Here is a 25,239-nt window from a genome sequence, read left to right as displayed (position 1 = left end):
CTACTCGGGAGGCTGAGGAACCCAGGCAGCAGAGGTTGCAGAGAGCCAAGATCACACCACTGCACTCCAGCCTGGGCGACAGAGCGAGACTCTGTCTCAAGAAAAAAAAAAAAAAGTGCAAGTAAGCACATGCTAAGCAATAGGCATAATAATAAAATAAATAATACATTATAAAAGAAGATTATACGCATGATGAAAAAGCGAGCAGGGAAAGATGGGTTAGCCATGCTGATAAGAGGCAAGTAGTTAGAAAAGCATTTTGAGAAAGTGACATTTGAGCAAAGTATTAAAAAAGGTTCCGTGTGTCCAGTAGCCTGATTCACAGCACTTAATTCAACATCAACGTCAGGTCATACAGGTATGCAGCTTGACTTCAGCCTGAGAACTTCCAAGACTTCAAGTTTCTCACAGAGACACTATTTCCGGTAAGAGAGAGGCAGGAAGTGTTGTGGTTATTGTTTGAGCTTTGTTGTAGAAAACATGAGTTGGAATCCTGGCTCTGAGGCCAATTAGGGCAGCTGTAGAGGCCTGAGGTTTACCTAATCTGCTAGATACTGGGTTTCCTGAAGGTGGTGGCTAAGTCTGTCTTGTCTACCAATATAGCCTAGTGCCTGTGCCTAGCGGAGTAGTGTCTGACACATAGGGGGAACTCTGTTAACACTTGCTAAATGAAAGAGTTCAAAGTTATGGCTTTGGTTTGTTTATTAACCCCATTGTCCGGGGAACATTGGTTAACCTTTCTGAGCCCACCATTCCTTATGTGCAAAATGAGTATGTTAATCATGATGGTACCAGTTCCCACCTCACAGAGTTGCTGTGTGGATTAAATTGTAATAATTCATAATGCATGTAGAGTACTTGGCACAGCGCCTAGAAGACAGTGAGTGCTCACTCAGTGTTAGAAATGGTCACTTGTTAGAGTCAGCGTACTGAATTAAATGTTCTCCATTTTGCCAGGTGCAGTGGCTCACGCCTGTAATCTCCAATACTTTGGGAGGCCGAGGTGGGTGGATCACGAGGTTATGAGATCGAGACCATCCTGGCCAACATGGTGAAACCCCGTCTCTACTAAAAATACAAAAATTAGCTGGGCATGGTGGCACATGCCTGTATTCCCAGCTACTTGGGAGGCTGAGGCAGGAGAATTGCATGAACTCGGGAAGCGGAGCTTGCAGTGAGCCGAGATTGCGCCACTGCATTCCAGCCTGGTGACAGAGTGAGACTCCATCTCAAAAAAAAAAAAAAGTTCTCCAACTTGAGATAATAATATGAAAAGATTCCTTGCTTCCTTAATCACTTAGTCTCATGGACTAAGCCCTCACAGTGCCTATTATAACCACTAAGGGAGTGAGAGGTGTGTGTGTGCATGTGCAGGGGAAGTAGATGCTGGATAGAGTGGGGCCTGAGAGCCTGCGGACAGAGGAGAGAGCCCAGACATCAGGACTGAGGTCTCTGGAGCACCATAGCCAGAGCAGAGGCGGTTGTCTAAACAGCCAGGATTGGGACGAGGATTTACAGTGTCCATATAACAGCATAGGGCAAAGGAATTAATAAAATATTAGCTGAGAACCGGCTGGGCGCGGTGGCTCACGCCTGTAATCCCAGCACTTTGGGAGGCCGAGGCAGGCGGATCACGAGGTCAGGAGATCGAGAGCGTCCTGGCTAACACGGTGAAACCCCGTCTCTACTAAAAATACAAAAAATTAGCGGGCGTGGTGGCGGGCGCCTGTAGTCCCAGCTACTCGGGAGGCTGAGGCAGGAGAATGGCGTGAACCCAGGAGGCGGGAGCTTGCAGTGAGCCGAGATCGTGCCAGCGCACTCCAGCCTGGGTGACAGAGCGAGACTCCGTCTCAAAAAAAAAAAAAGAAAAAAAAAACAAAACATAGCTGAGGACAAAGAGAATAGCTGTTATGAGCAGATGGGGATTGCAGGTGGGGCTTGAGGACAAGGCCTAGACCCTCAGTCCTGTGTCAGGGTCTTTCTTCATCTTAAAGTGACCATGTTTTCCCAATGATTCAAAAGCTAGTGCCTGGCATTTCTCAGCTAAGCCCTTTTTTCTCTGGCTGCTGAGCAGGATGTTTCTCTTCTCTCTTGAATGTTGAGCCAAGCTGAGCTATCTTCCTGAATTCACAGGTCTCCTTAGAAATCAGCTTTTGTCTGAGTCTGTCAGTGTAGCCTGGGCTCAGCCTGGACAGCCTTGCAGCCTGAATTCCCTGGATTTCCCAGCAGTTCTCAGCATCTACTGAACTGACTTTCTTGCCTCTTTGATTCTATCTCATCTGGTCTCCTGGGTTTGTTTTTTTACGAGGTACTCAGTCTGGAAAAAGAACCCCTACTCTCTCTGTGGGCATGGTAAGAGGTATTGCTTATGAAATCATTGGGCATATAATTGTCACTTTAGTCATTCACAATGAAAGATACACAGAAGGCAGCATCCTGACCAAAGAGGCCCAGGAGGTAGAAGGCTTCTCTTCCAACCAGACTCCTGGCTGGAAGCAAGATGTTGTATAGAAGTTAGTTGCCATCCAGAAAGTTAGCAGCATTTATTTGGGACCCGCTGCACGTCTATCCCTGTAATGAGGGAGACAGTATTTCAATGCAGAAAAGATAATGTTCCTCATCAGAATCTCTGATTATTTCATGACGACTGAGTCCTAGAAGTGGCTTTATTTTTCCAAGAAGTAAGAACACTTAAGGCTTTTTGATACATGTTGCCATATTGCCTTCCAAAACGGCTGTACCAATTCACATGCCAACTCGTTGCATTTGATTGTACCCACTTTATCATACCTTTGCCAATACTGGGTATTATTACAAGTTTTGCAATCTATATAATGGGGAGGCAAATGGTATTGCTTTGATTAAATTATCATTTTTAAATTAATGAGGAGGTTGAACATTTAAAAAAAATTGTTTGCTATGAGGATGATACTTGGTGTCCACTCCAGGGTGGGTCTGGAGGAATGTTGACTAGATTTTTTTTTTTTTTTTTTTTTTTTTTGAGATGGAGTCTCGCTCTGTAGCCCAGGCTGGAGTGCAGTGTGCGTTCTTGGCTCACTGCAACCTCTACCTCCCAGGTCTTGGTTCAATCTATTCCCTTGCCTCAACCTCTGGAGTAGCTAGGATTACAGGCATGCACCACCATGCCCAGCTAATTTTTGTATTTTTAGTAGAGACAGAGTTTCACCATGTTGGCCAGGCTGGTCTTGAACTCCTGACCTTGTGATCCACCCACCTCAGCCTCCCAAAGTGCTGGGATTACAGGTGTGAGCCACCGCGCCGGGCCTGACTAGATTTTTTTATGGCTGAGTTTTATATGTTATTTATTTTTAATTTTTTCTTTCTTTCTTTCTTTCTTTGAGATGGAGTTTCGCTCTTTCACCCAGGCTGGAGTGAAGTGGCGTGATCTCAGCTCACTGCAACCTCTGCCCCTTGGGTCCAAACGATTCTCCTGCCTCAGCCTCCCAAGAGGTGGGATTATGGGCCCCTGCCACCACGCCTGGCTAATTTTTGCATTTTTAGTAGAGATGGGGTTTCTCCATGTTGTCCAGGCTGGTCTTAAATTCTTGACCTCAGGTGATCCACCCGCCTTGGCCTCCCAAAGTGCTAGGATTACAGGCATGAGCCACCGCGCCTGTCCTATTTTTAAATTTCAACACAGTAAAATTTACTCTTTTATTGTATAATTTTGTGATTTTGACACATACATAGAGTTGTGTAACTACTTACACAACCAGAATATAAATGGTGATCTCATTCCCTGAAATTCCCTTATGTAACCTCTTTGTAGTCAAACCTTCTGTCAATCCTTAACCCCTGGCAACTACTGATCTATTCTATACCTCTATATTTTTGTGTTCTCTAGAATGTCTTTTTTTTTTTGAGATGGAGTCTCGCTCTGTCACCCAGGCTAGAGTGCAGTGGTGTGATCTCGGCTTACTGCAACCTCTGCCTCTCAGGTTCAAGCAATTCTCCTGCCTCAGCCTCCCAAGTAGCTGGGACTACAGGCATGTGCCACCATATCCAGCTAATTTTTGTATTTTTAGTAGAGACAGGATTTCACCATGTTGGGCAGGCTGGTCTCACACTCCTGATCTTAAGTGATCCACCTGTGTCAGCCTCCCAAAGTGCTGGGATTACAGGCGTGAGCCACCGTGTCTGGCCCAGTGTCTTTAATAGAGCAAAAAATGTTAAGTCTAACTTATTCACAGTGTGCTTTTGTTGTCCTACTAAAAACTCCTTGCCTAATCCAAGATTATTAAAATTTTCTCCTATATTTTCCTCTAAAAGTTTTCTAATTCTACCTTTTACATTTAGATCTGTAATGCATTTTTAAAAATTTTGTATAAGGTGTGAGTTGTAGGTCGAGATTCATGTTTTTGCATATTTATGTCCAATTGTTCCAGCACCATTTGTCAAAAAGTCTATCACTTTTTTATTTAGTTGCCTTTGCACCTTTGTCAAAAATCAATTGACCATTATGTGTATAGGTCTCTTTTTTGCTCTATTAAAGACACTGGGCCGGGCACGGTGGCCTCTCTATCTATCTTATACTCAATATCACATGACCTTTTTTTTTTTTTTTGAGTTGGAGTCTTGCTCTGTTGCCCAGGCTGGAGTGCAGTGGCGTTATCTTGGCTCACTGAAACCTCTGCCTCCCGAGTTCAAGCAATTCTCCTGCCTCAGCCTCCTGAGTAGCTGGGACTACAGGTGCATGCCACTACACCGGCTAATTTTTTGTATTTTTAGTAGAGACGGGGTTTTACCATGTTGGCCAGGCTAGTCTTGAACTCCTGATCTCAAGTGATCCGCCTGCCTCGGCCTCCCAAAGTGCTGGGATTACAGGCATGAGCCACTGTGCCCAGCCACATGGTCCTGATTATAGAAAGTACTTATATTTTTGCTTCTTCCAGAATGACATATAAATGGAATCATATAGTGTATAAATGTTGGCCGGGCTCGATGGATCATGCCTGTAATCCCAGCACTCTGGGAAGCCAAGGCGGGTGGATCACCTGAGGTTAGGAGTTTGAGACCAGCCTGGCCAACATGGTGAAACCCCTCTCTACTAAAAAACAAAAAATTAGCTGGAGGCTGGGTCCAGTGGCTCACGCCTGTAATCCCAGCACTTTGGAAGGCCGAGGTGGGCAGATCAGGGGGTCAGGAGTTTGAGACTAGCTGGCCAACATGGTGAAACCCGGTCTCTACTAAAAATACAATTTTTTTTTTTTGGAGACGGAGTCTCAGTCTGTTGCCAGGTTGGAGTGCAGTGGTGTGATCTCAGCTCACTGCAACCTCCAACTCCCTGGTTCAAGCGATTCTCCTGCCTCAGCCTTCTGAGTAGCTGGGATTACAGGCACGTGCCACCACACCCAGCTAATTTTTGGTGGCAGGCACCTGTAATCCCAGCTACTCAGGAGGCTGAGGCATAAGAATCACTTAAACCTGGGTGGCAGAGGTTGCCGTGAGCCGAGATTGCAGCACTGTACTCCAGCCTGGGCAACAGAGTGAGACTCCATCTGAAAAAAAAAAATTAGCCAGGCGTGGTGGTGGATGCCTGTAATTCCAGCTGCTTGGGAAGCTGAGGCAGGAGAATCTCTTGAACCCAGGAGGCAGAGGTTGCAGTGAGCCGAGATCATGCCATTGCACTCCAGCCTGGGCAACAAGAGTGAAACTCTGTCTCAAAAATAATAATAATAATAATTAATAATAATTGAGTCTTCTAGCTTATTTCACTTAGAATAATGAATGACTTTGTGATTCATTCAAGTTGTGTACTTAGTCTTTCAATTATTCGTATTGCTCAGTAGTGTCTATTTGTTTAACCACTTACTTGCTGTTCTTATTTTTCAAAGTTGGTTTGGCTATTCTAGTTCCTTTGCCTTTTTAAGAATCAGCTCGTAAGTATCTATAACAATTTGCCCCCTTGATGAGGGTACTGTCTGGATTTCCATAAATCTACAGATCAATTTGGGTAGACCTGTTGTGTTAACAACATCCAGTCTTCCAATCTATGAACATGGAGTATCCATTTATTTACCTCTTAAAATTTCTTTCGTTAGTGTTTTGTAGATTAGCTTATGCCTAAGTAGTTCATGTTTTGGAACTGTTAGTGGTACTGGTTTTAAAATTTCAGTTTCAAAGCATTCATTGCTAGTATAAATAAATCCAGCTGATTCTTTGTCTATTGACCTAATTCCGATTTTGCTCTCTTGGAAGCCACCTGCCATGTAAAGATGGCCAGGCTATCCTGGTGGAAAGACCATGTAGAAAAAGGCCCTGGAGGATAAAAGACCATGTGGCAGACAACCGAAGTGTCCCAGATGGTAGCTGACAGAGCAGGAGCACTGTCATCTCTGACAAACACTGCCACTTTAAGTTCCAGCTCCCTTTCTAGCCTTATGCATTTCAAGGAAATCACTTCTCTTCTAACAACAAGCAGCGAAAAAGAGCAGACAGTAAAACACAGATAAGACCAGCTAGGGCACAGAGGGAGGTTAGGGGGAAGTCTCTTGGGTAAGTGCCAAGCTAAGCTTCACCCTCATACAATGGGTCCCAGTAAAACAGTGGGCCTTAATAAGCACATTCCTTTCCCTTCAGGTGCACTAAGATAGGGAAGCTAAAAGCAGACTCAGGGGTATGCCTGCAGGTGCAGGAAGATGTATGGGAACATACACAAAACTCTCCCTCCCAGATAAGCACAACAAAGAGACACAGAAGCAGTCCAAGCCTCTGATAAACTCTCCTGCCCTGAATCCTTAAATACTCAGTCTGTAAGACTGTGTCTCTGACCTAACTTGGCCAGAAGCTCCTCTCAGGTTTGTTTTCTCTAAAATAAACCTGTCCTTAACTGTCAAACCACCTTTCGTGTTTCTTTCGTCTTTCTTTAATTCTTACAGTAGCCAGCACCAACTGCCAGACATGAGAGTGAAGCCATTTTTGATGTTCAAATCCCACTGAGTTCCTAGCTAAATGTAGTCACGTGCGTGAACCCAGCTGGCATTACTGAAGAACTGTCCATCTGAGCCCAGCCAACCCACAAAATTGTGACAAATAACACATCTTGGTTGTTTTATTTTTATTTATTTATTTTTCGGAGACAGAGTCTTTCTCTGTTGCCCAGGTTGGAGTGCAGTGGCACAATCTTAGTTCACTGTAACCTCCGCCTCCTGGGTTCAAGTGATTGTCCTGCCTCAGCCTCTCGAGTAGCTGGGATTACAGGCATGCACCACCATGCCCGGCTAATTTTGGTATTTTTAGTAGAGACGGGGTTTCACCATGTTGGCCAGGCTGGTCTCGAACTCCTGACCTCAAGTGATCCACCCGCCTCAGCTTCTCAAAGTGCTGGGATTACAGGTGTGAGCCACCATGCCTGGCCATCTTTGTTGCTTTAAACCATCAAGTTTTGGGATGGTTTAAAATGGAACAATAGACAACTGATATAGGGCTTAGCAACAGTTCAGTTCTTCAGCCCTGGGCTCCCTGGCCTGGTCATGACTGCTGGGCTTTGATACGCCTTCCTGAGTTGTATTGTTGCCAGTCAGACTAGGGGCTTATGTCCCCAGGGATAGCAGTTGGCTGCCAAGTCACAGCTTTCCCTCTTCCCTACTCACTCCAGAGTGGTGTAGTTCAAATGGCCTGCATCTCTGCTTGAGCCCATGTTTCACTGCAGAGAGGCCTCTGCCATCCTTGCTTGTACTGATCCCTAGCTGTGGACTGCTTCTGCTTGCCCACTTGATTGACAGCTGCCAGTTTTCATAGCTCTCTGGGTCCCCACCACAATGCCTTCTTGGTGCCCTGATTGAAAGTCTCAGGAATGACCATTTGCAGCACCTTTTTCTCACCTTCTGATATGAGCGTCTCCTCTGTTGGGCCTGTTTCACTCTGCGACAAGTGATTAGTATTCCTCAGGCCTGAATCCCCAGTTACAGTTTCATGAATTGGTAGCCATTTAAACCTGACCTAGAACCTGCAGAGTGGTTTGATTTTATTACCCGTTTAGTACAAAGACTTAGAACCCTGGGGCTAGGTTAATTAGTTTTGTTTTTTTGTTTTTTGTTTTTTTTCTTTAAACATGTAAGTCAGAGCAAACACCTCCTGGCCTGTCCTTACTAGCTATACAGTCTGGGAAAAGTTCTTAAGCCCCTATAGACCTCATTTTCTTCACTTGTAAAGTAAAGATAATAATACTTGATAAGATAATACATGTGCATTGCTGATCAACATGCCTGGCACACAGCAACTGTTTCCTGATAGTAATTATAATTAATATTGAAAGTCAGAGATAGAGGGGCCCTTAGGGATTATTTAATCTAAGATTTTTCAGTGGGAGAAAGTGAAGCCCAGGGAGACTGAGTAATTTGCCCAAAGTCACACAGCTCATTAGTAGTTGAACTAGAACCTTAGTTTCTCAAACTCTAATCTCATGTCTTTCCCATTGCATCACAATTGTTTCCCTTAGGAGGTCTTGGAGGGAAAAAAGTGATAAAAAGGAGCTACCAACCACCAAGTATCTACTTTATTGGTGCTTTACATACCTCATGTTATTTTATTCCCATAATAATTCTGGGCGTCATTATCCTCACTTTATTGATGAAGACACTGGACTCAGAGAAGTTAAAATCTTGCCAGCCAGGCACAGTGGCTCATGCCTATAATCCCAGCACTTTGGGAGGCCGAGGCAGGCTGCTCAACTGAGGTCAGGTGTTTGAGACCAGCCTGGCCAACGTGGTGAAACCCCATCTCTACTAAAAATACTAAAATTAGCCGGGTGCAGTGGCACACGCCTGTAGTCCCAGCTACTCGGGAGGCTGAGGCAGCAGAATTGCTTGAACCCAGGAGGCAGAGGTTGCAGTGAGCTGAGATCACGCCATTGCACTCTAGCCTGGGCAACAGAAGCAAAACTCTGTCTCAAAAAAAAAAAAAAAAAAAAGTTAGAAGTTAAAATCTTGCCTGCAGGCCCCACAGGCAGTAGAATGGGGACTCCAACCCGGGCCTGTCTGACTCAAAGCCAGCCCGTGCTCCTCTACCTCTCCTGCCCTTCCTGGGTCAGGCTGGAGAGCCTGAGAACCACAGGGAAGAAGGGTTTCTTCAAGGTCTGGCACCACCCTGGCTGCATTTCTTCTTAGTCCTCAGACGCAATAGCTGGTCTGCGTGCAAGAGCCTTTTATCCTTCCTTCCACACAATCCTTTTAACTGAAACCAAGTGGCCAAAGCTTAACTGTAATTCTACAAAACTGGTGGTGAAAGGCCTGGCTGGGGCTCGGGCCACTCACCCCAAACGTGATGTGCATAGAGAGTGGGGCTGACATTGTTTAGCTCCCTGCCTAGCAGTGCCCAACCAAGCCTCCCAATCTAAATTGAGCCCTTAATCGTTTTCCTGGCATTTGCTCAGACAGGATTTTATTTTCTAGTAATAAAAGCTCCTACGTTGTAGGAAAAGAAACCAATCTGCCTTTTCTCCTGTTAGCTTTTGTGAATGCTTTGCCACCTGTCCTTTTCCCCCTTGTCCTTGTGCTTGGGGCAGAGCCACGTTGTTTTGTGCCCACTGTCAAGTTTTGAGGAGTTCTGAGTGGGCAGAGAAAAGCACTCACATTGACTGTGCCTCTTCGATCATTACTGGCAGCTTCCCATCTCGTGGATGGACAGGTTTCATCCTACAGGCTTGACTTCTGGGTCTGCAGGTGGTATGAGGAAGATAGTCCCAGGGAAGTAGGAGCAAGTGAGTCACCGAGGGCCTCCCGCATAAGCAGCTCTTGATGGCTGGTGTCTAGTTGCCTTGGTCTTCTGCTTAAGAATTTTCAGTGGCTCCCCAGTGCCTGCAGCATGAAGCACACACTTTCTAAAACAGTATTCAGACCACCCACCTCCTCAACCTCTTCTCTTTTTGTTGGTGAAAAAAATAAAAAAAATAAAATGAAATGCAGAATAGAAAGAGTAAAAATGAATCTCCAGAGTCTTCATCGCCAAAATCAATGCTAACATATTGACATATATCTTTCCAGATCTATGCATAAATATATATATATTTAAATTTGTGAGGCCTTTTCAGTTCTAACTTTCCTTTGTAGCTTTATCTTTTACAACTCCCACGGTACACTAAACATTATCTACACGTAATTCACCTGTGTATAGGCAAATGCGTAGAATGTGCCTATTCTGATTAAAGGAAATGTGAGATGTGTGTGTGGGTGGGTGTGTGTGTGGGGGGTGTGTGTGTGTGTATATAATCTATACCATGGAATACTACTCAGTCATAAAAAAGAATGAAATTTTCTTTTATAGCAGCATGGATGGAACTGGATGCCATTATCTTAAGTGAAATAACTCAGAAAGTCAAATACGCATGTTCCCACTTATGAGTGGGAGCTAAATTATGTAAATTATGTATATATATACAGACATGGACATAGAGAGTGAAATAATTAACATTGGAAACTCAGAAATGTGGGAGGGTGGTGAGAGATGAGAAATTACCTAATGGGTGTAATGTACACTATTTGGGTGATGGTTACACTAAAAGTCCAGTCTTCACCATTATGTAATATATTCATGTAACAAAGCTGCACTTGCACCCCCTAAATCTATAAAAATAAGTTTTTTACAAGAATTAGCCTATCCATATAGCATGCACTTTCAGATTTTTAAGAATTCACACCAGCTGTTCGCTCTCTCTGAAATGCCCTTTACACAATGCCTGCACATAGTAAGCTCTAACAAAACTCTAGCTGTTCCTTTTAATTTCTTTTCCTGCCTGGTGAGCTCCAACTTAACTATTTAAAACTCTGCTTAAATAGCTCTACATCTAGGAAATGCCCCTCTCTCCCCAAACCCTCACCTGTCTGCTCACCAGTTGGCTACTCACCACCCGTTTTGGGACCCGTGGATCCACTGCCCTCCCACCCTATCCTGTCCTAAGCCGGCTCTTCCAAGGCAGTCAGGGGTCATGTCTCTTTCACTCAGGCCCATGATTGACACTCAGTACAGGCTGGGAAAATGGACATCAGACTGTCAGAGGCAGCAGTTTGCTGGATGAAGCTAGTCCGAGGCATACTGCAGGGGCCCAGGGCACTGCTGGACAAGTCAGAGTGGCTGTGAGCTGGCATTTGTACAGAGATTCCAAACTGCTAAGGAGACCCCTGTTGTTGGCTGGGCTCCTCCCTGTCTGGCAAGAGCTAACCTTCCACCTCAGAAAGCATTATGGTGCCAGAGAGCTCTCTTGGCAGACCTTGGATGAATTATTTACTCTCTCCTTGTTGAGTGAATGCAGGCACATTTGAGGCTCCTCTAAAGATGCTTGATCCAGAATTCTAGCCTTAATGGTGGTGGGCTGCAGAGAAAGAGAAAATAAACCAATGTCCCCACCCTTGGCCAGACTTCCTGCCATATCTTTAGGGGGGGCATTTTGTTCTCTTTGACTCACCTTTGCCCACAGCTCCCTGCACTGTCCCCCAACTCCAACTCCACTTAAAAGGGACATTTTGGCCAGGAGCGATGGCTCATGCCTATAATCCCAGCACTTTGAGAGGCCAAGGTGGGCGGATCACTTGAGGTCAGGAGTTCTAGGCCAGCCTGGTCAACAGGGTGAAATCCCATCTCTATTAAAAATACAAAATCAGCTGGGTGTGGTGGCGCGTGCCTGTAATCACAGCTACTTAGGAGGCTGATGCAGGAGAATCACTTGAACCCGGGAGGTGGAGGCTGCAGTTAACCGAGATTGCACCACTGCACTCCAACCCCGGGCAGACAGAGCAAGACTCTGTCTCAAAAAATAAAAAATAAAAAAACAAACCGGACATTTCACGTTTTCTTGTTGGGGCACAATTTGTTGCTCCTCTCTCCTCCTTTACACCTCACCATGCAGCTCCTGTGTCATAATCTTACACATTCTTCTGTCTGCATTCCCTCAGCATTGGAAAACTCTGAGATGAGAACCAAGAGCAATGGTTTACTGGACACTGCAGCAGCTTTAAGCAGCATTTGTTGAAAAGCACACACTGGGTACTTTCCAATACCTCGGCTCACTTCTGGGTGGTCTTTGTTAAGAGAAGCGGCTTCTAGCCTTGCTGGGTAACACATCTTCCTTCTCAGGTTCCCTGAACAAATGAAGCAATTGAAGCAACTGGAAATAGCAGCTACTGGCGTGGGAACACACATGGCATCTAACACTCATCCTGACAGAAGAGTCATGTGGCCGAGTTTCTCCAGGCCTCACCCACCTGTGAGTGTCACTGTTGGGGTCATATTAGGGGCAATGGCCTGTCATTGCTGACCCTTGCCCCTGAGACTTTGTCCCCAGGAGCATTTTGCAGCCACTCACAAGTACTCCTGTTACACTTCCTCTCTCCCCCACATTGGCAATGTCTCCAGGTCACCTGACAACTCCAGGGGAAGGTGCAGCAAATGCCTTATATGCTGTATCTGCATGGAGAATGTGTTCCCCTGGTGAGGAAACTCTTCAGGTGATTAAATGGTGACAAATGCTCTGGAATTCTCCCTGTGCTGGGAAGACAGCATGTGCCTTCACCTCCACCTCCCTTTCTGCATTTTAGTTTGTCAGCAGGCCTGAAAGCGGCAGTGGTAACATCGCCCTTTGAAAACAGTGAGGAGCCCCTCTCTCTGCTGAGTTATTATTTTTTTATGTGTTTTTTTGAGACAGAGTCTCACTCTGTCACCCAGGCTGGAGTGCAATGGCGCGATCTTGGCTCACTGCAAACTCCACTTCTCAGGTTCAAGTGATTCTCCTGCCTCAGCCTCCCAAGTAGCTGGGATTACAGGCGAGTGCCACCATGCCCAGCTAATTTTTTTTTTTTTTTGTATTTTTAGTAGAGACGGGGTTTCGCCATGTTGGCCAAGCTAGTATCAAACTCTTGACCTCAGATGATCCACCCCCCTTGGCCTCCCAAAGTGCTGGGATTACGGGCATGAGCCACCACGCCCAGCCTCTTTGCTGAGTTCTGACTTCCGTCCACAGAGCCAGGTTAGGCATAGATATCTGAAGCTTCCCACATGCTGCCCAGCCGTCTTTGCGTCTTTTTCTGGCATGTGAGCCAAACCACTTCCTCATCCTCACACGGAGTGACACCCAGAAGCCCCACAGACCAGGTCATCAAACACACCCAGGCATGGCTGCAGCCCAGTGCAGACTCAAGTTGAGACACCATTAAAATAAATGTTTTTCTAGCTCTTTAAAGTTTACAAAACCCGTGCATATACATGACTTCCACTTAATCCTTGAAACAGCCCTTTGAAGTTTGGGTTGTCTTTATTCTCATTTTATAAGGAGTAAAACTGAAGTTCAGGAAGGTTAGAAAAGGCAGACATGACTATTTAGTAAGTGACAGAGCTAGGGATTTTCAGTCCTGTCATATGGAACCCTAGGTTCCCTGTGTGATAAGATTACAAACCTGAGACTTAGTTAAGGGAGACGTAGATCAAGTAGCAACAGCTGTGCCTTCAGACCTGTAGTTCAAGGCAGCTGGCATCACCCAGAGGCAATTAAACTCTCGGATAGAGTGATAATTAGAATTGGGCTATCCAGGCAAAAATAGCCATGGTCCCTTCTCAAGAAGTTTAGGAGACTTTTCTTTTCTTCTAGATGTTCCTCTTTTTCCCTCTGTGCTCCACAGCACTTGGATGGGACTTCTCACAGAGTTATTTCTGTGAATCTCCCATCGTGCTTGTTCTACTGTAGGACCCTTGAAGCCAGAGACTATGCTATGAACATAGGAGGTACTCAATAAATGTTAGTGGAATGAAGGGCTGTTTCTTAATGTCACTCCATTAGACCTCTAAGTAGGAAATTTAACTGTAGTCATTTCTTTCCCATGAGCACCTCCACCAGAGAGTGGGCATGCACGGTGCACAGTAAAGCAGAATAAGTCAACCCTATTGACTTCCTGCCTCAGTTTCCATGCCTTTATGTTGCCCAGCTGCTTCCCTTTGGGTCCACTGATGCATCTCACTTTCAGCTGCCACCCTCCCACCCCAGCTTCTGAGTCTGAACAAATTCAGGCAGGAAGTAGATTAACCACCTCAGTGCCTCTGGTGGGACTTGGTGCGCAGTCATCCACTGAAACTTGGAGGTTGTTAGTCCAGTAACATCCTCTGACAGTCATGTTTCCCCGAGTGATATCTGTCCTCTCTCTGGCTATTGTTGGCCCAACCCAGAGATCCAGCTTCTACCTGATCCCTAGCTCTCCCGCCCAGAGGCACGGTCCCCTTTTAGGACTGCACACTGCTCCTGAACTCAGCCTGGGAATGGGCCCTGGCATACTATGTGGCACTTGCCAGCCCTTTTCCCTGGGACAGAACCTGGATCTTATCCATTACTACCCATGGACAATGTGTCTACAAATAACCTCCTACCTGCCTGTCTGCTGGCCTGTGTGCCTGACTGGGGAGGGCAGACAAGATGCTTGGATTCCTCTCCATTTGCTCCACCCATTTGATTAGAGAGTTGCTTCAATCACGCCTGGGCTTCCTGTGTCCTTTGGCCATTGTGTCTCACCCATCAGGCTACCAGTCTGATATTTGCTTTTGTAGCTGGGCTTATTCCTCCTGCCCAAGATTCAGCTGTGTAGATGCAGGGTCAGGTTTTGTTTCATCCTCTCTGTCTGATCTGCATGGCTGTGAGATGCCCACAGTGCCTTGTTTATGCCCAAGCTAAAACTTCATTTGATTTCATCTTATGTGCTCTTTAAGAGGTTTGGTGTGGAAGAAAGTTTGAAACTAATAGGCTAAACTAAAGATTAATGGTTGGGATTATTTTTATTGATTTATTCTGTCTCCAATATTAAAACTCTATTATTACCTTTTTTTTTTTTTTTTTTGAGACATTGTCTCGCTGTCACGCAGGCTGGAGTGCACTGGCCTGATTTCGGCTCACTGCAACCTCCACCTCCCAGGCTCAAGCAATTCTCAGCCCCCCAAGTAGCTAGGATTACACCATGCCAAGCTAATTTTTATACTTTTTTTTTTTTTTTGAGACAGAGTTTCGCTCTTGTTGCCTGGGCTCACTGCAAACTCCGTCTCCCAGGTTCAAGGGATTCTCCTGCCTCAGCCTCCTGAGTAGCTGGGATTACAGGCATGTGCCACCACGCCTGGCTAATTTTTGTATTTTTAGTAGAGACAGATGGGGTTTCACCACGTTGGCCAGGCTGGTCTCGAACTCGTGACCTCAGGCGATCCACCCACCTCAGCCTCCCAAAGTGCTGGGATTACAGGCCTGAGCCACTGCACCCGGCTGCATGATTTCTTTAACATCTGTACTTCAAATGTGATCCCTCTGCTTGGAGTCTTCTTCCCTGTACCTCCTATGCCACCATCTAGGTCTTAGTTTGGATATGGCTTACTTCAGAAAGTGGTAAGGCCAGCCTGGCTTTCCAGGCTGAGTTAAGTGTCGTATCTCTGAATTCCCATGTTATTCAGTTGTTCCTCCTCCTCCTCTTCCTCTCCTTCTCTTTCTCCTTCTTTTTCTGCTTCTTCCCCTCCTTCTCCTTCATCTTCTTCTGAGATGGGGGTCTCGCCATGTTGCCAAAGCTGATCTTGAACTCCTGGGCTCAAGTGATTTTCCTGCTGCATCAGCCTCCCAAGTAGCTGGAATTACAGGTGCAAGCCATCATGCTTGGCCAGTTCTCTCTCTCTCTCTTTTTTTTTTTTTTTTGAGACAGAGTCTCGCTCTGTCGCTCAGGCTGGAGTGCAGTGGCGCAATCTCTGCTCACTGCAGCCTCTGCCTCCTGGGTTCAAGCGATTCTCCTGTCTCAGCCTCCCGAGTAGCTGGGACTACAGGCATGTACCACCACGCCTGGCTAATTTTTGTATTTTTGGTAGAGACTGGGTTTCACCATGTTGGCCAGGCTGGTCTCAAACTCCTGACCTCAAGTGACCTGTCCGCCTCGGCCTCCCAAAGTGCTGGGATCACAGGCATGAGCCACTGCTCCCAGCCTCAGTTCTTCTCTTTTACCATATTGAACTGCAAGTGTCTGCCTCCCACACCAGATCATAGGCTCTCTGATGGCAAGAACTATGTCATCTTGTTCATGCTCGTATCTCCAGTATTTGCAAGTGTGCCAAGCACAGGTACTAGTTTCAGTGAATAGATGAATGAATAACTGAGGTTTGGTGTTGTTATGGGTTGAGAACTGTGTCCCCACAAAAAGATATGTTGAAGTCCTAACCCCTGATACCTGTGAATGTGACCTTATTTGGAAATGGGGTATTTGCAGATGTAATGAGGTTAAGGTGAGGCCATACAAGATTAAAGGATGTCCTAAATTAAATGACTTGTGTTCTTGTAACATAAGGGAACTTTAAAAACAGACACATATGGAAGAGGAACAAAAGATCCTCTCATAGTACCTTCAGAGAGAGCACGTCCCTGCTGATTTTGGACTTTTATCTTCCAGAACTGCAAGAGAATAAACTTCTGTGTTTTTCTTTTGTTTTATTTTTGAGACGGAGTCTCGCTCTGTCATCCAGGCTGGAGTGCAGTGGTGCGATCTTGGCTCACTGCAAGCCCCACCTCCCGGGTTCACGTCATTCTCCTGCCTCAGCCTTCTGTGTAGCTGGGACTACAGGTGCCCGCCACCACACCCGACTAATTTTTTGTATTTTTAGTAGAGATGGGGTTTCACTGTGTGAGCCAGGATGGTCTCGATTTCCTGACCTTGTGATCCGCCCGCCTCGGCCTCCCAAAGTGCTGGGATTACAGGTGTGAGCCACCGCGCCCGGCCCACTTCTGCTGTTTTAAGCCACTAAATTTCTGGTACTTTGTTACAGCAGCCCTAAGAAATGAATCCAGGTATATAACATATGTCAGATAGATTGTAGTCCAGGTTCCTTTTGGAGGTGTCATATTTCACTTGGCTAGATCTCCTACAAGTCTTGGAAATTACACCTTGGCAATCACCATTTGTGGACTCTTTTAACATAATTGTTGGAAGATATGTAGTCATAGCTTCCTTAAAAATAACAGTAAATTGCAGTAGTATCTTTTTTTAAAAAAAAAAAAAAGAGTAATACACATTGGCCAAAATGTCTGGTTAGATTGGATTCAAGGTGTGAAGGAAAGAGAAGAGTTAAAGAGTAAATTATATTCCCATTTAGAAAAGTAGGTGAGGGCTGGGTGGCTCATTCCTATAATCCCAGCACTTTGGGAGGCTGGGTGGGTGGATCACTTGAGGTTAGGAATTCTAGACCAGCCTGGCCAACATGGCAAAACCCTGTCTCTACTAAAAATACAAAAATTAGCCGGGCATGGTAGCACACACCTGTAATCCCAGTTGCTAGGGAGGCTGAGGCAGAAGAATTGCTTGAACCCACAGAACGGAGGTTGCAGTGAGCTGAGATCATGCCACTGCACTCCAACCTGGGCGACAGAGCGTGACTCAGTCTCAAAAGAAAAGTAGGTGAAGGGACACAAGGTGAAGTATGGAAAAAATCATGTCACAATTTGACAGTGGAGCAGGGTAAAGACCTCAATCTTCAGAGAAAAAGCCTTACCATTTTACCTCAATTAAAAAGAAGTTTAAAATGCAAAATAAATAAATAAATAGGAACATATATGGAAGTGTTAAAAAGGAAAACATTGAGTTTGACTGATACTATCATAATTAAATACTATTGCTTTGCAAGGAGGTGGAGGGACTGGATAGCTCAATTCTTTCAAAAATCACCTCAGTTCTCTGAGCCACCTCCACTTGGTTTTCTAACAGACATTTCAAATGCAACTTGTGGCTATCCTCTTCTCTCATTCCCTATCCCTCTTTCAAAACTGCTTCACTCAAAGCCATCTACATTTCAGTGATAGCATCTCTCTTTCTTTCTTTTTTTTTTTTTTGAGACAGAGTTTCCCTCTTGTCACTCAGGCTGGACTGTAGTGGCGCCATCTTGGCTCACTGCAACCTCCGCCTCCTGGGTTCAAGTGATTCTCCTGCCTCAGCCTCCTGAGTAGCTGGGATTACAGGCATGTGCCACCGGCTAATTTTGTATTTTTAGTAGAGACAGGGTTTCTCCATGTTGGTCAGGCTGGTCTCAAACTCCCGACCTCAGGTTATCCGCCCACCTCAGCCTCTCAGAGTGCTGGGATTACAGGCATGAGCCACCGTGCCCGGCAATAGCATCTCTCTTTTCCAGTTGTTCAAGCCCCAAACCTTGAGCTCATCCTTAACTTCTTTCTTTCTTTCACACCTCGAATCCAATCTATCAGACATTCTCTGAACTCTGTGTTCAAAATACATTAAGCATTTGACGGTTTTCCACCATCTCCATTGTTACTTCACTGGTCATAGCTATCATTGTCTTTCATTCCCTCCTTCCAATTTATTCTCAATGTAGTCTTCTGCTTCGGCCATGGTTCTTAAAGTCTGCTGTGGCTCCCCAGTTTACTCAGAGTAACAGCCAAAGCCCTTCAATTACCTTTCTGATTTCTCCTATCACTTTCTCCTTTGTTTACTCCATTCTAGCCATGCTGACCTTGCTTTTCCTGGACTATGTCAGACATGTCTCTGCCTTAAGGCCTTTGCACTGGATGCTCCCCCTTCCTCCTCCTCCCAGATTTCTTCCCCCAGAAATCTGATATCAGCTTGACCAACTCCGTATCATCCTCTGAATCTTTTCTTTTTCTTTTTTTTTTTTTTTAAGACAGAGTCTTGCTCTTGTCACCCAGGCTGGAGTGCAATGGCGTGATCTCAGCATTGCAACCTCCACCTCCTGGGTTCAGGTAGTTCTCCTGCCTCAGCCTCCCGAGTAGCTGGGATTACAGACTTGTGCCACCACGCCTGGCTAATTTTTGTATTTTTAGTAGAGATGGGGTTTCACCATGTTGGCCAGGTGGTCTCAAACTCCTGACCTCAGGTGATCCACCCACTTCAGCCTCCCAAAGTGCTGGGATCACAGGTGTGAGCCACTGCTCCTGGCTGAATCTTTTCTTAAATGTTACCTTCTCAATGGTGCTTTCCAGGACCACTGTTTCAAATTCTGCTCCCTGCCCCTCTGTCTCTTCTAATCCTTTTAACCTTATTTTACTTATTTCCTCATAGTATCTATCACCTTCTAGCATACTATCATAATTTATATATTATGTCTATTGTTTACTGGAAAGTTTTTAGCACAGGGTCTTTCTTGCCTAGAGTAGGTTCTTAATACAGGTTAATTCTTGTTTTTGTCAGAGGTTATGACTTAAAAAAATCTTTTGATTTAGATTTGCTTTGCAAAAGGTATAACTTCCATCTTTTAAACATTAACATTATTAGTATGGAGGTAAGAGTCACATAACAGAAAATTAACCACTTTAAAGTGAACAATTCAGCTGGACGTGGTGGCTTACGCCTGTAATCCCAGCACTTTGGGAGGCCAAGGTGGCTGGACCATTTGAGGTCAGGAGTTTGAAACCAGCCTGGCCAGTATGGTGAAACCCCGTCTCTACTAAAAATACAAAAATTAGCTGGGCGTGGTAGTGGCCACCTGTAGTCCCAGCTACTTGGGAGGCTGAGACAAGAGAATTGCCTGAACCCGGGAGGCGGAGATTGCAGTGAGCTGAGATCACGCCATTGCACTCCAGCCTGGGCAAAAGAGTGAAACTCTGTCTCAAAAAAAAAATAATAAATAAAATAAAATAAAATAAAAGTTCCTCTATGTTTATAGGCCTTAAAAAACAAACCAACTTTCTGTGAAGGTGAATGATTTTGTTAATTGTTTCAAGATGTTGAGTGTTTTAAACTATGTTGTAAAAGCCCTACATGATGACAAAACAAAACTCATTAGTTAGTTTTTCCCTGTTGGGCTTTTACTTAAAAATATAAAATGTAGACATTCACAGGCAATTTTACAACTGCAAATTTAAACCAAGTATAATCAGAAAAGGGGAAAAATGACATAATATTGATATATCTGCTTTGTTGAGCTAGATCTGAGAGTAATATATCTCACTCGCTTCATTCTCTCCTTGATCCTTCAGTGTGCTATAAGTTTAATTCAAGAAAATTTCTGGAAGGATACAAAAGAAGCTGTTAACAGGTTTTTTTCTTCTGAAGCAGGGTTCTAGGAGGAAGACTTATTCTATAATTAGATAATATACCTCTTTATACTGTTTGAATTTTTACCCTAGGCTTGTATTACAGTTAAAAAAATATAATAATAACAATGTCAACAACAAAAGTCCTAAATTTGTGTTAAATTATCCCTCTGTGTTCCCCACGGTTCTGGGCATGTATTAGTCAGGACTCTTTTTTTCTTTTCTTTTCTTTTTTCTTTTTCTTTTTTTTTTTTTTTTTTTTTGAGACAGGGTCTTGCTTGTTGCCCAGGCTGGAGTGCAATGGCATGATCTTGGCTCACTGCAACCTCCACCTCCCAGGTTCAAGCAATTCTCATGCCTCAGCCTCCTGAGTAGCTGGGATTACAGGCATGTGCCACCATGCCCAGCTAATTTTTGTATTTTTAGTGGAGATAGGGTTTCACCATGTTGGCTAAGCTGGTCTCAAACTCCTGACTTCAGGTGATCCACCTGCCTCAGCCTCCCAAAGTGCTAGGATTACAGGCACGAGCCACCACGCCTGGCCTGTCAGGACTCTTTAAAGTGATGGAAACCCAATTTAAACTAGACTCTGCAGAAAAGGGGGTGGTTGTTACTAGAGCACAGAGCAGGAATGGAGTAGTTTACAGAACTAAAGGAAGAACCATGATCTCAGGGGCTAGCACTGAGGCCTCCCTATGACAAACTTGTTTTTTCTCCTGTTCTCATGATCATCATTACTTGTGTTTGCTCTTCAGTTCATGTTGGTGTCATTCTCTCTTGCTTCTCCATATGGACGTGGCTTTTGGTAGTCCTAGCTTAGGAACCCCAGAGAAGAGAAAAAACATCTTTCTTCCCAAGTCTCTATTTTAATCCTGATGAAGGTTCTCATTGATTTTGCTTGTGTTGCATGCTTCCCCTTGAACTATCGCTATTGCCAAGGGAATTGGCCAGACCTGCATCATTTACCCAGTGTGTGGCCAGCATAATGGAATCTCTTAACAGGAGGAACAAGTGAAAGCTTCCTGGGAGGAAAAGTAAGTAACCACAGTCTGCTACAGTCTACCCCTTGACTGCTTAGTCTAATACAAACTCTCCTCCCATAATAGTATTCCAAGACAGTTCCTGGAAATCACACAGCCCTCATACAGATACCTAAAATATATTCACCCCCTTTCCCACAGCAAAACAATTTGATGTATTTAACAGCAGGTTAAGCTCCAAGTCCAAAGTTCTGGGGGATCTTTCTTCTTCTTGGGCTGCTTTGAATATGACTTCTCTCGGTTCAGCGACCCATGTTTAATTGAGGAATGTAATACAATAAAAAACTTTAATTTAGAAAAGAGGAAAAAAAGGGCCGGGCGCAGTGGCTCACGCCTGTATTTTTTTTTTTTTTACCTTGTCCCCAAAGAGCCTGTTTTTGGCCGGGTGTGGTGACTCACACCTGTAATCCCAACACTTTGGGAGGCCGAGACAGGTGGATCACCTGAGATCAGGAGTTCAAGACCAGCCTGGCCAACATAGTGAAACCTTGTCACTTCTAAAAATACAAAAATTAGCCAGGCATAGTAGCGCATGCCTATACTAGGAGGGACGAGGCAGGAAGATCACTTGAACCTGGGAGGCAGAGGTTGCAGTGAGCCGAGATCGTGCCACTGCACTCCAGCCTGGGCAGAAGAGCAAGACTCCATCTCAAAAAAAAAATACAAAAAAAAACCAGACTGTCTTTTTTTGAACTATTTGGAACTAGAAGAAATCATTCATCTTACTTTAAAGCAGTGGCTACCTTCCTTAAAATAGAATCTGTATGTCCATGCTGTGGTTTGAATGTGTCCCCTCCATAATTCAGGTATTGAAACTTAATGGCCAATGTGATGGTATTAAGAGGTGAGACCTTTAAGAGGTAATTAAATCATGAGCGGTCCTCCTCTCATGAATGAGATTAAAACTGTTATATAAGAAGCTTCAAATAGCATTGGACTCACTTGTCCTTCTACCTTCTGTTATGTAAGGACACAGTGTTTCTCCCCCTGGAGGATGCAGCAACAAGGTGTCATCTTGAAAGCAGAGAGCAGCCCTCATAAAAAAACTGAACCTGCCAGTGCCATGATCTTGAACTTTCCAGCCTCTAGAACTGGGAGAAAGTAAATTTTTGTTCTTTATAAATTACCAGTCTCAGGCAGGGCACAGTGGCTCACACCTGTAATCCCAGCACTTTGGGAGGCTGAGATGGGTGGATCACAAGGTCAGGAGTTCGAGACCAGCTTACATGGTGAAACCCCGTGTCTACTAAAAATACAAAAAATTAGCCAGGCATCATGGCACGTGCCTGTAGTCCCAGCTACTTGGGAGGCTGAGGCAGGAGAATTGCTTGAACTTGGCAGGCAGAGGTTGCAGTGAGCTGAGATTGCACCACTGCACTCTAGCCTGGGTGACAGAGTGAGACTCCATCTCAAAAAATAATAAAAATAATAATAAATAAATAAAATAAATTACCAGTTTCATGGCCGGGCACAGTGGCTCATGCCTGTAATCCCAGCACTTTGGGAGGCCGAGACGGGGTGGATCATCTGAGGTCAGGAGTTCGAGACCAGCCTGGCCAAAATGGTGAAGCCCTGTCTCTACTAAAAATAAAAAAATTAGCTGGGTATGGTGGTACATGCCTGTAATCACAGTTACTTGGGAGGCTGAGACAGGAGAATCGCTTGAACCTGGGAGGTGGAGGTTGCAGTGAGCCAAGATTGTGCCACTGCACTTCAGCCTGGACAACAGAGCGAGACTCCGTCTCAAAAAAAAAAAAAATTATCAATTTCAGGTGTTTTGTTATAACAACACAAACTGTACTAAGACAATCTACACCTATTTCTTAATGTCTATCTCTGTCTCTATTTACCTACCTATCTATCTGTCCTCTGTCTAACCTCCCTTTCCTTCCAGGAAGTGAAGATTTAGGCAATAGTGTTTTGAAGACTATTGTTTCAAAAATGCTTCCATGCTCTTGAGAAAGGGCTACTATTTGTTGCTCATTGCTTACTTTTTTTTACCCTGCTTTGGTTTTTCATTGGCCATCAAAGTTCTTACTGATGATCCTGAGTCAACTCATTAAGGACTCTGATGGGGAATTGGGAGGGAAGGAAGAAGGAATAAACCTTCAAGTGTGAAAGGATGAAAGGGATATAGTGAGAAAGTAAGAGGGACCATTGATCCACAGTCAGAAAAGTGGCTCAGGATTGGGGTCACCACCTGAAAAATCTGGACAAGTGAATTGAGAAGATGTCCATAATAAGCCTTGTCTTTGTGCCCCCGGAGTCATATTGGATTAGAAACTTTGCCAGCTGACTGCAGTTTTCACAAGATTGAACGCCTTATATTACTTATCCCCTGGCTTCTGAAGATCAGGTATTCACCCTTCAGGAAACCTTGCTCATTTTACATCAGGTCTCCTTAATAGTTTTCCTTCCTGTAGAAGCAATGCTCACCTTGAAGCATATATCTATTTCTGCCACTGGCCAATTACCTCTTACGGTATTTCTACCAAAATACCTTTCCTCTTTGTTAGACTAAAGATGACTCCTAGACCCTCAGAGAAATGATGGGAAAGAGTTTTCACACCTGTACTTAGATGGCTTAACTAAGACTACCAGATCCCCCAAGCTGGGATAGCAATAAATGGATTCTACCAGTCCCCCAGAGTGTTCTTTTCCCCCTAATCTATTTCAAGCCAGGCAATCTGGAAATGAGTTTTATCTTTCCTCTATCTCAAGATACTCTTCTTAAAGTTACATGGAGATGGAGACTGAAGATTAAAGTTTAATCAGCTGATTCTCAAACTCTATATCTCAGATCTCACACCTCCAACTTTTTTATCTGGGGTGGAAGGTGGTGATGGGAAGGGAAGAGAGTATCACAGTTCTACAACAATCATTCCTAGTTTCCTCTTAGTGCTCGTTTGCAATGCCTCTTCCTGGGACCAAATTATTCTCAGGAACTGTTTGGTTGCAAGGAAGAGAAACTCACTAAAATTAACCCAAGTAAAATGGTACATTTATTATATGGCTATAACAACTAATGTCCAGGACAGTGAGGCCATGTTATAGACATTTATGAAGAAGAAATAAGGTATACATAGTTGGGCCTCAGAAGGTCTATAAAAGGTAGATAGAAAGTAAGGAAATAAGGCTGTTCTTTTCCTAAGACCCTTTCATCTTTCATCTCTGCTTCTTTTAATTCTGGCTTTCTCCCTGCAGAGAATAAATTTCTCCTTATTCATGGTGTCTTTGACCCTGTAGTTTCAGCTTGGTTCACTGTCTCACAGTGGGGGAAAGTGTGTTATCCAATAGGAAACTGGAGTGCTATTAGGATAGGAGAACAAACTCTAGGACGCCAAAATATGAAAAGTTACTATAATAATGAACAATCTATCCAAGCTAATTCAAGTTGGATAAATAGTTTGCCATATCTGAAGTGGAAGTCACGAAGACACCAATCCATAGTGACTCACTCTGTCCCTGGAACTTGAAGGCACCCAGTAATTGTTTGCTTAGTGGATGAATAAATTAGTGAATGACTGGAGTTGAATGCAATTCATGTCTGATTTATTTTGATTCATCTTGGTAACACTCATAGCACCTGATATACTCGTGTGTGTGTGTGTGTGTGTGTGTGTGTGTATGTTGGTATATGGTAAGTACTCAATAAGCAACTGGATACTTGCTGAGCACCAACCTAATATAATACCTTACTGTATTAGCAGAATAACTCTCACCTCCTTTAAGTATTGTGCTTTTTGAAATGGCAAAATTGGCCAGGCACGGTGTCTCACACCTGTAATCCCAACACTTTGGGAGGCCAAGGCAGGTGGATCACCTGAGGTCAGTAGTTCGAGACCAGTCTGGCTAACATGGCAAAACCCTGTTTCTACTAAAAGTACAAAAGTTAGCCGGGCATGGTGGCATTCGCCTGTAGTCCCAGCTAGTTGGGAGGCTGAGGCAGGAGAATTGCTTGAACCTGGGAGGCAGTGGTTGCAGTGAGCCAAGATCGCACCATTGCACTCCAGCCTGGGTGACACAGTGAGACTCTGTCTCAATAAAATAAAATAAAATAAAATGGCAAAATCATTGTATAGTATCGTGGTCTCCAGTGTAGAATGTGTATGGCAACGCACCATATAAAAAATTATTATGACCTCTAAAAGAAAAATTGTGTTGCCAATATCTAATATACAGGTT

General features: G+C 44.4%; 1 long non-coding RNA gene across 1 annotated transcript in view, besides 1 other annotated feature; it reads right to left on the bottom strand.

The window, feature by feature from the left end:
* The window catches only part of LOC105376197 (uncharacterized), a 63,129-nt gene that overhangs the window by 26,393 nt on the left and 11,497 nt on the right, over positions 1 to 25,239 (bottom strand). Inside the window, exon 2 of the long non-coding RNA XR_930205.3 lies at positions 9,594 to 9,818. This is a non-coding gene — a long non-coding RNA (uncharacterized LOC105376197). The remainder of the gene's footprint in view (positions 1 to 9,593; positions 9,819 to 25,239) is intronic.
* Positions 15,275 to 15,775: an enhancer, noted in NCBI's record as "H3K27ac hESC enhancer chr9:107875055-107875555 (GRCh37/hg19 assembly coordinates)". NCBI's record gives its function as "activates a minimal SCP1, AML or CMV promoter by ChIP-STARR-seq in naive H9 embryonic stem cells {active_cell/tissue: H9 hESC(naive)}" and the evidence as "EXISTENCE:reporter gene assay evidence [ECO:0000049][PMID:30033119]".

Source organism: Homo sapiens, chromosome 9 (genome assembly GCF_000001405.40).
Source record: "Homo sapiens chromosome 9, GRCh38.p14 Primary Assembly".
NCBI lineage: Eukaryota > Metazoa > Chordata > Mammalia > Primates > Hominidae > Homo > Homo sapiens.
This window is presented reverse-complemented; position numbering and strand designations above follow the sequence as displayed.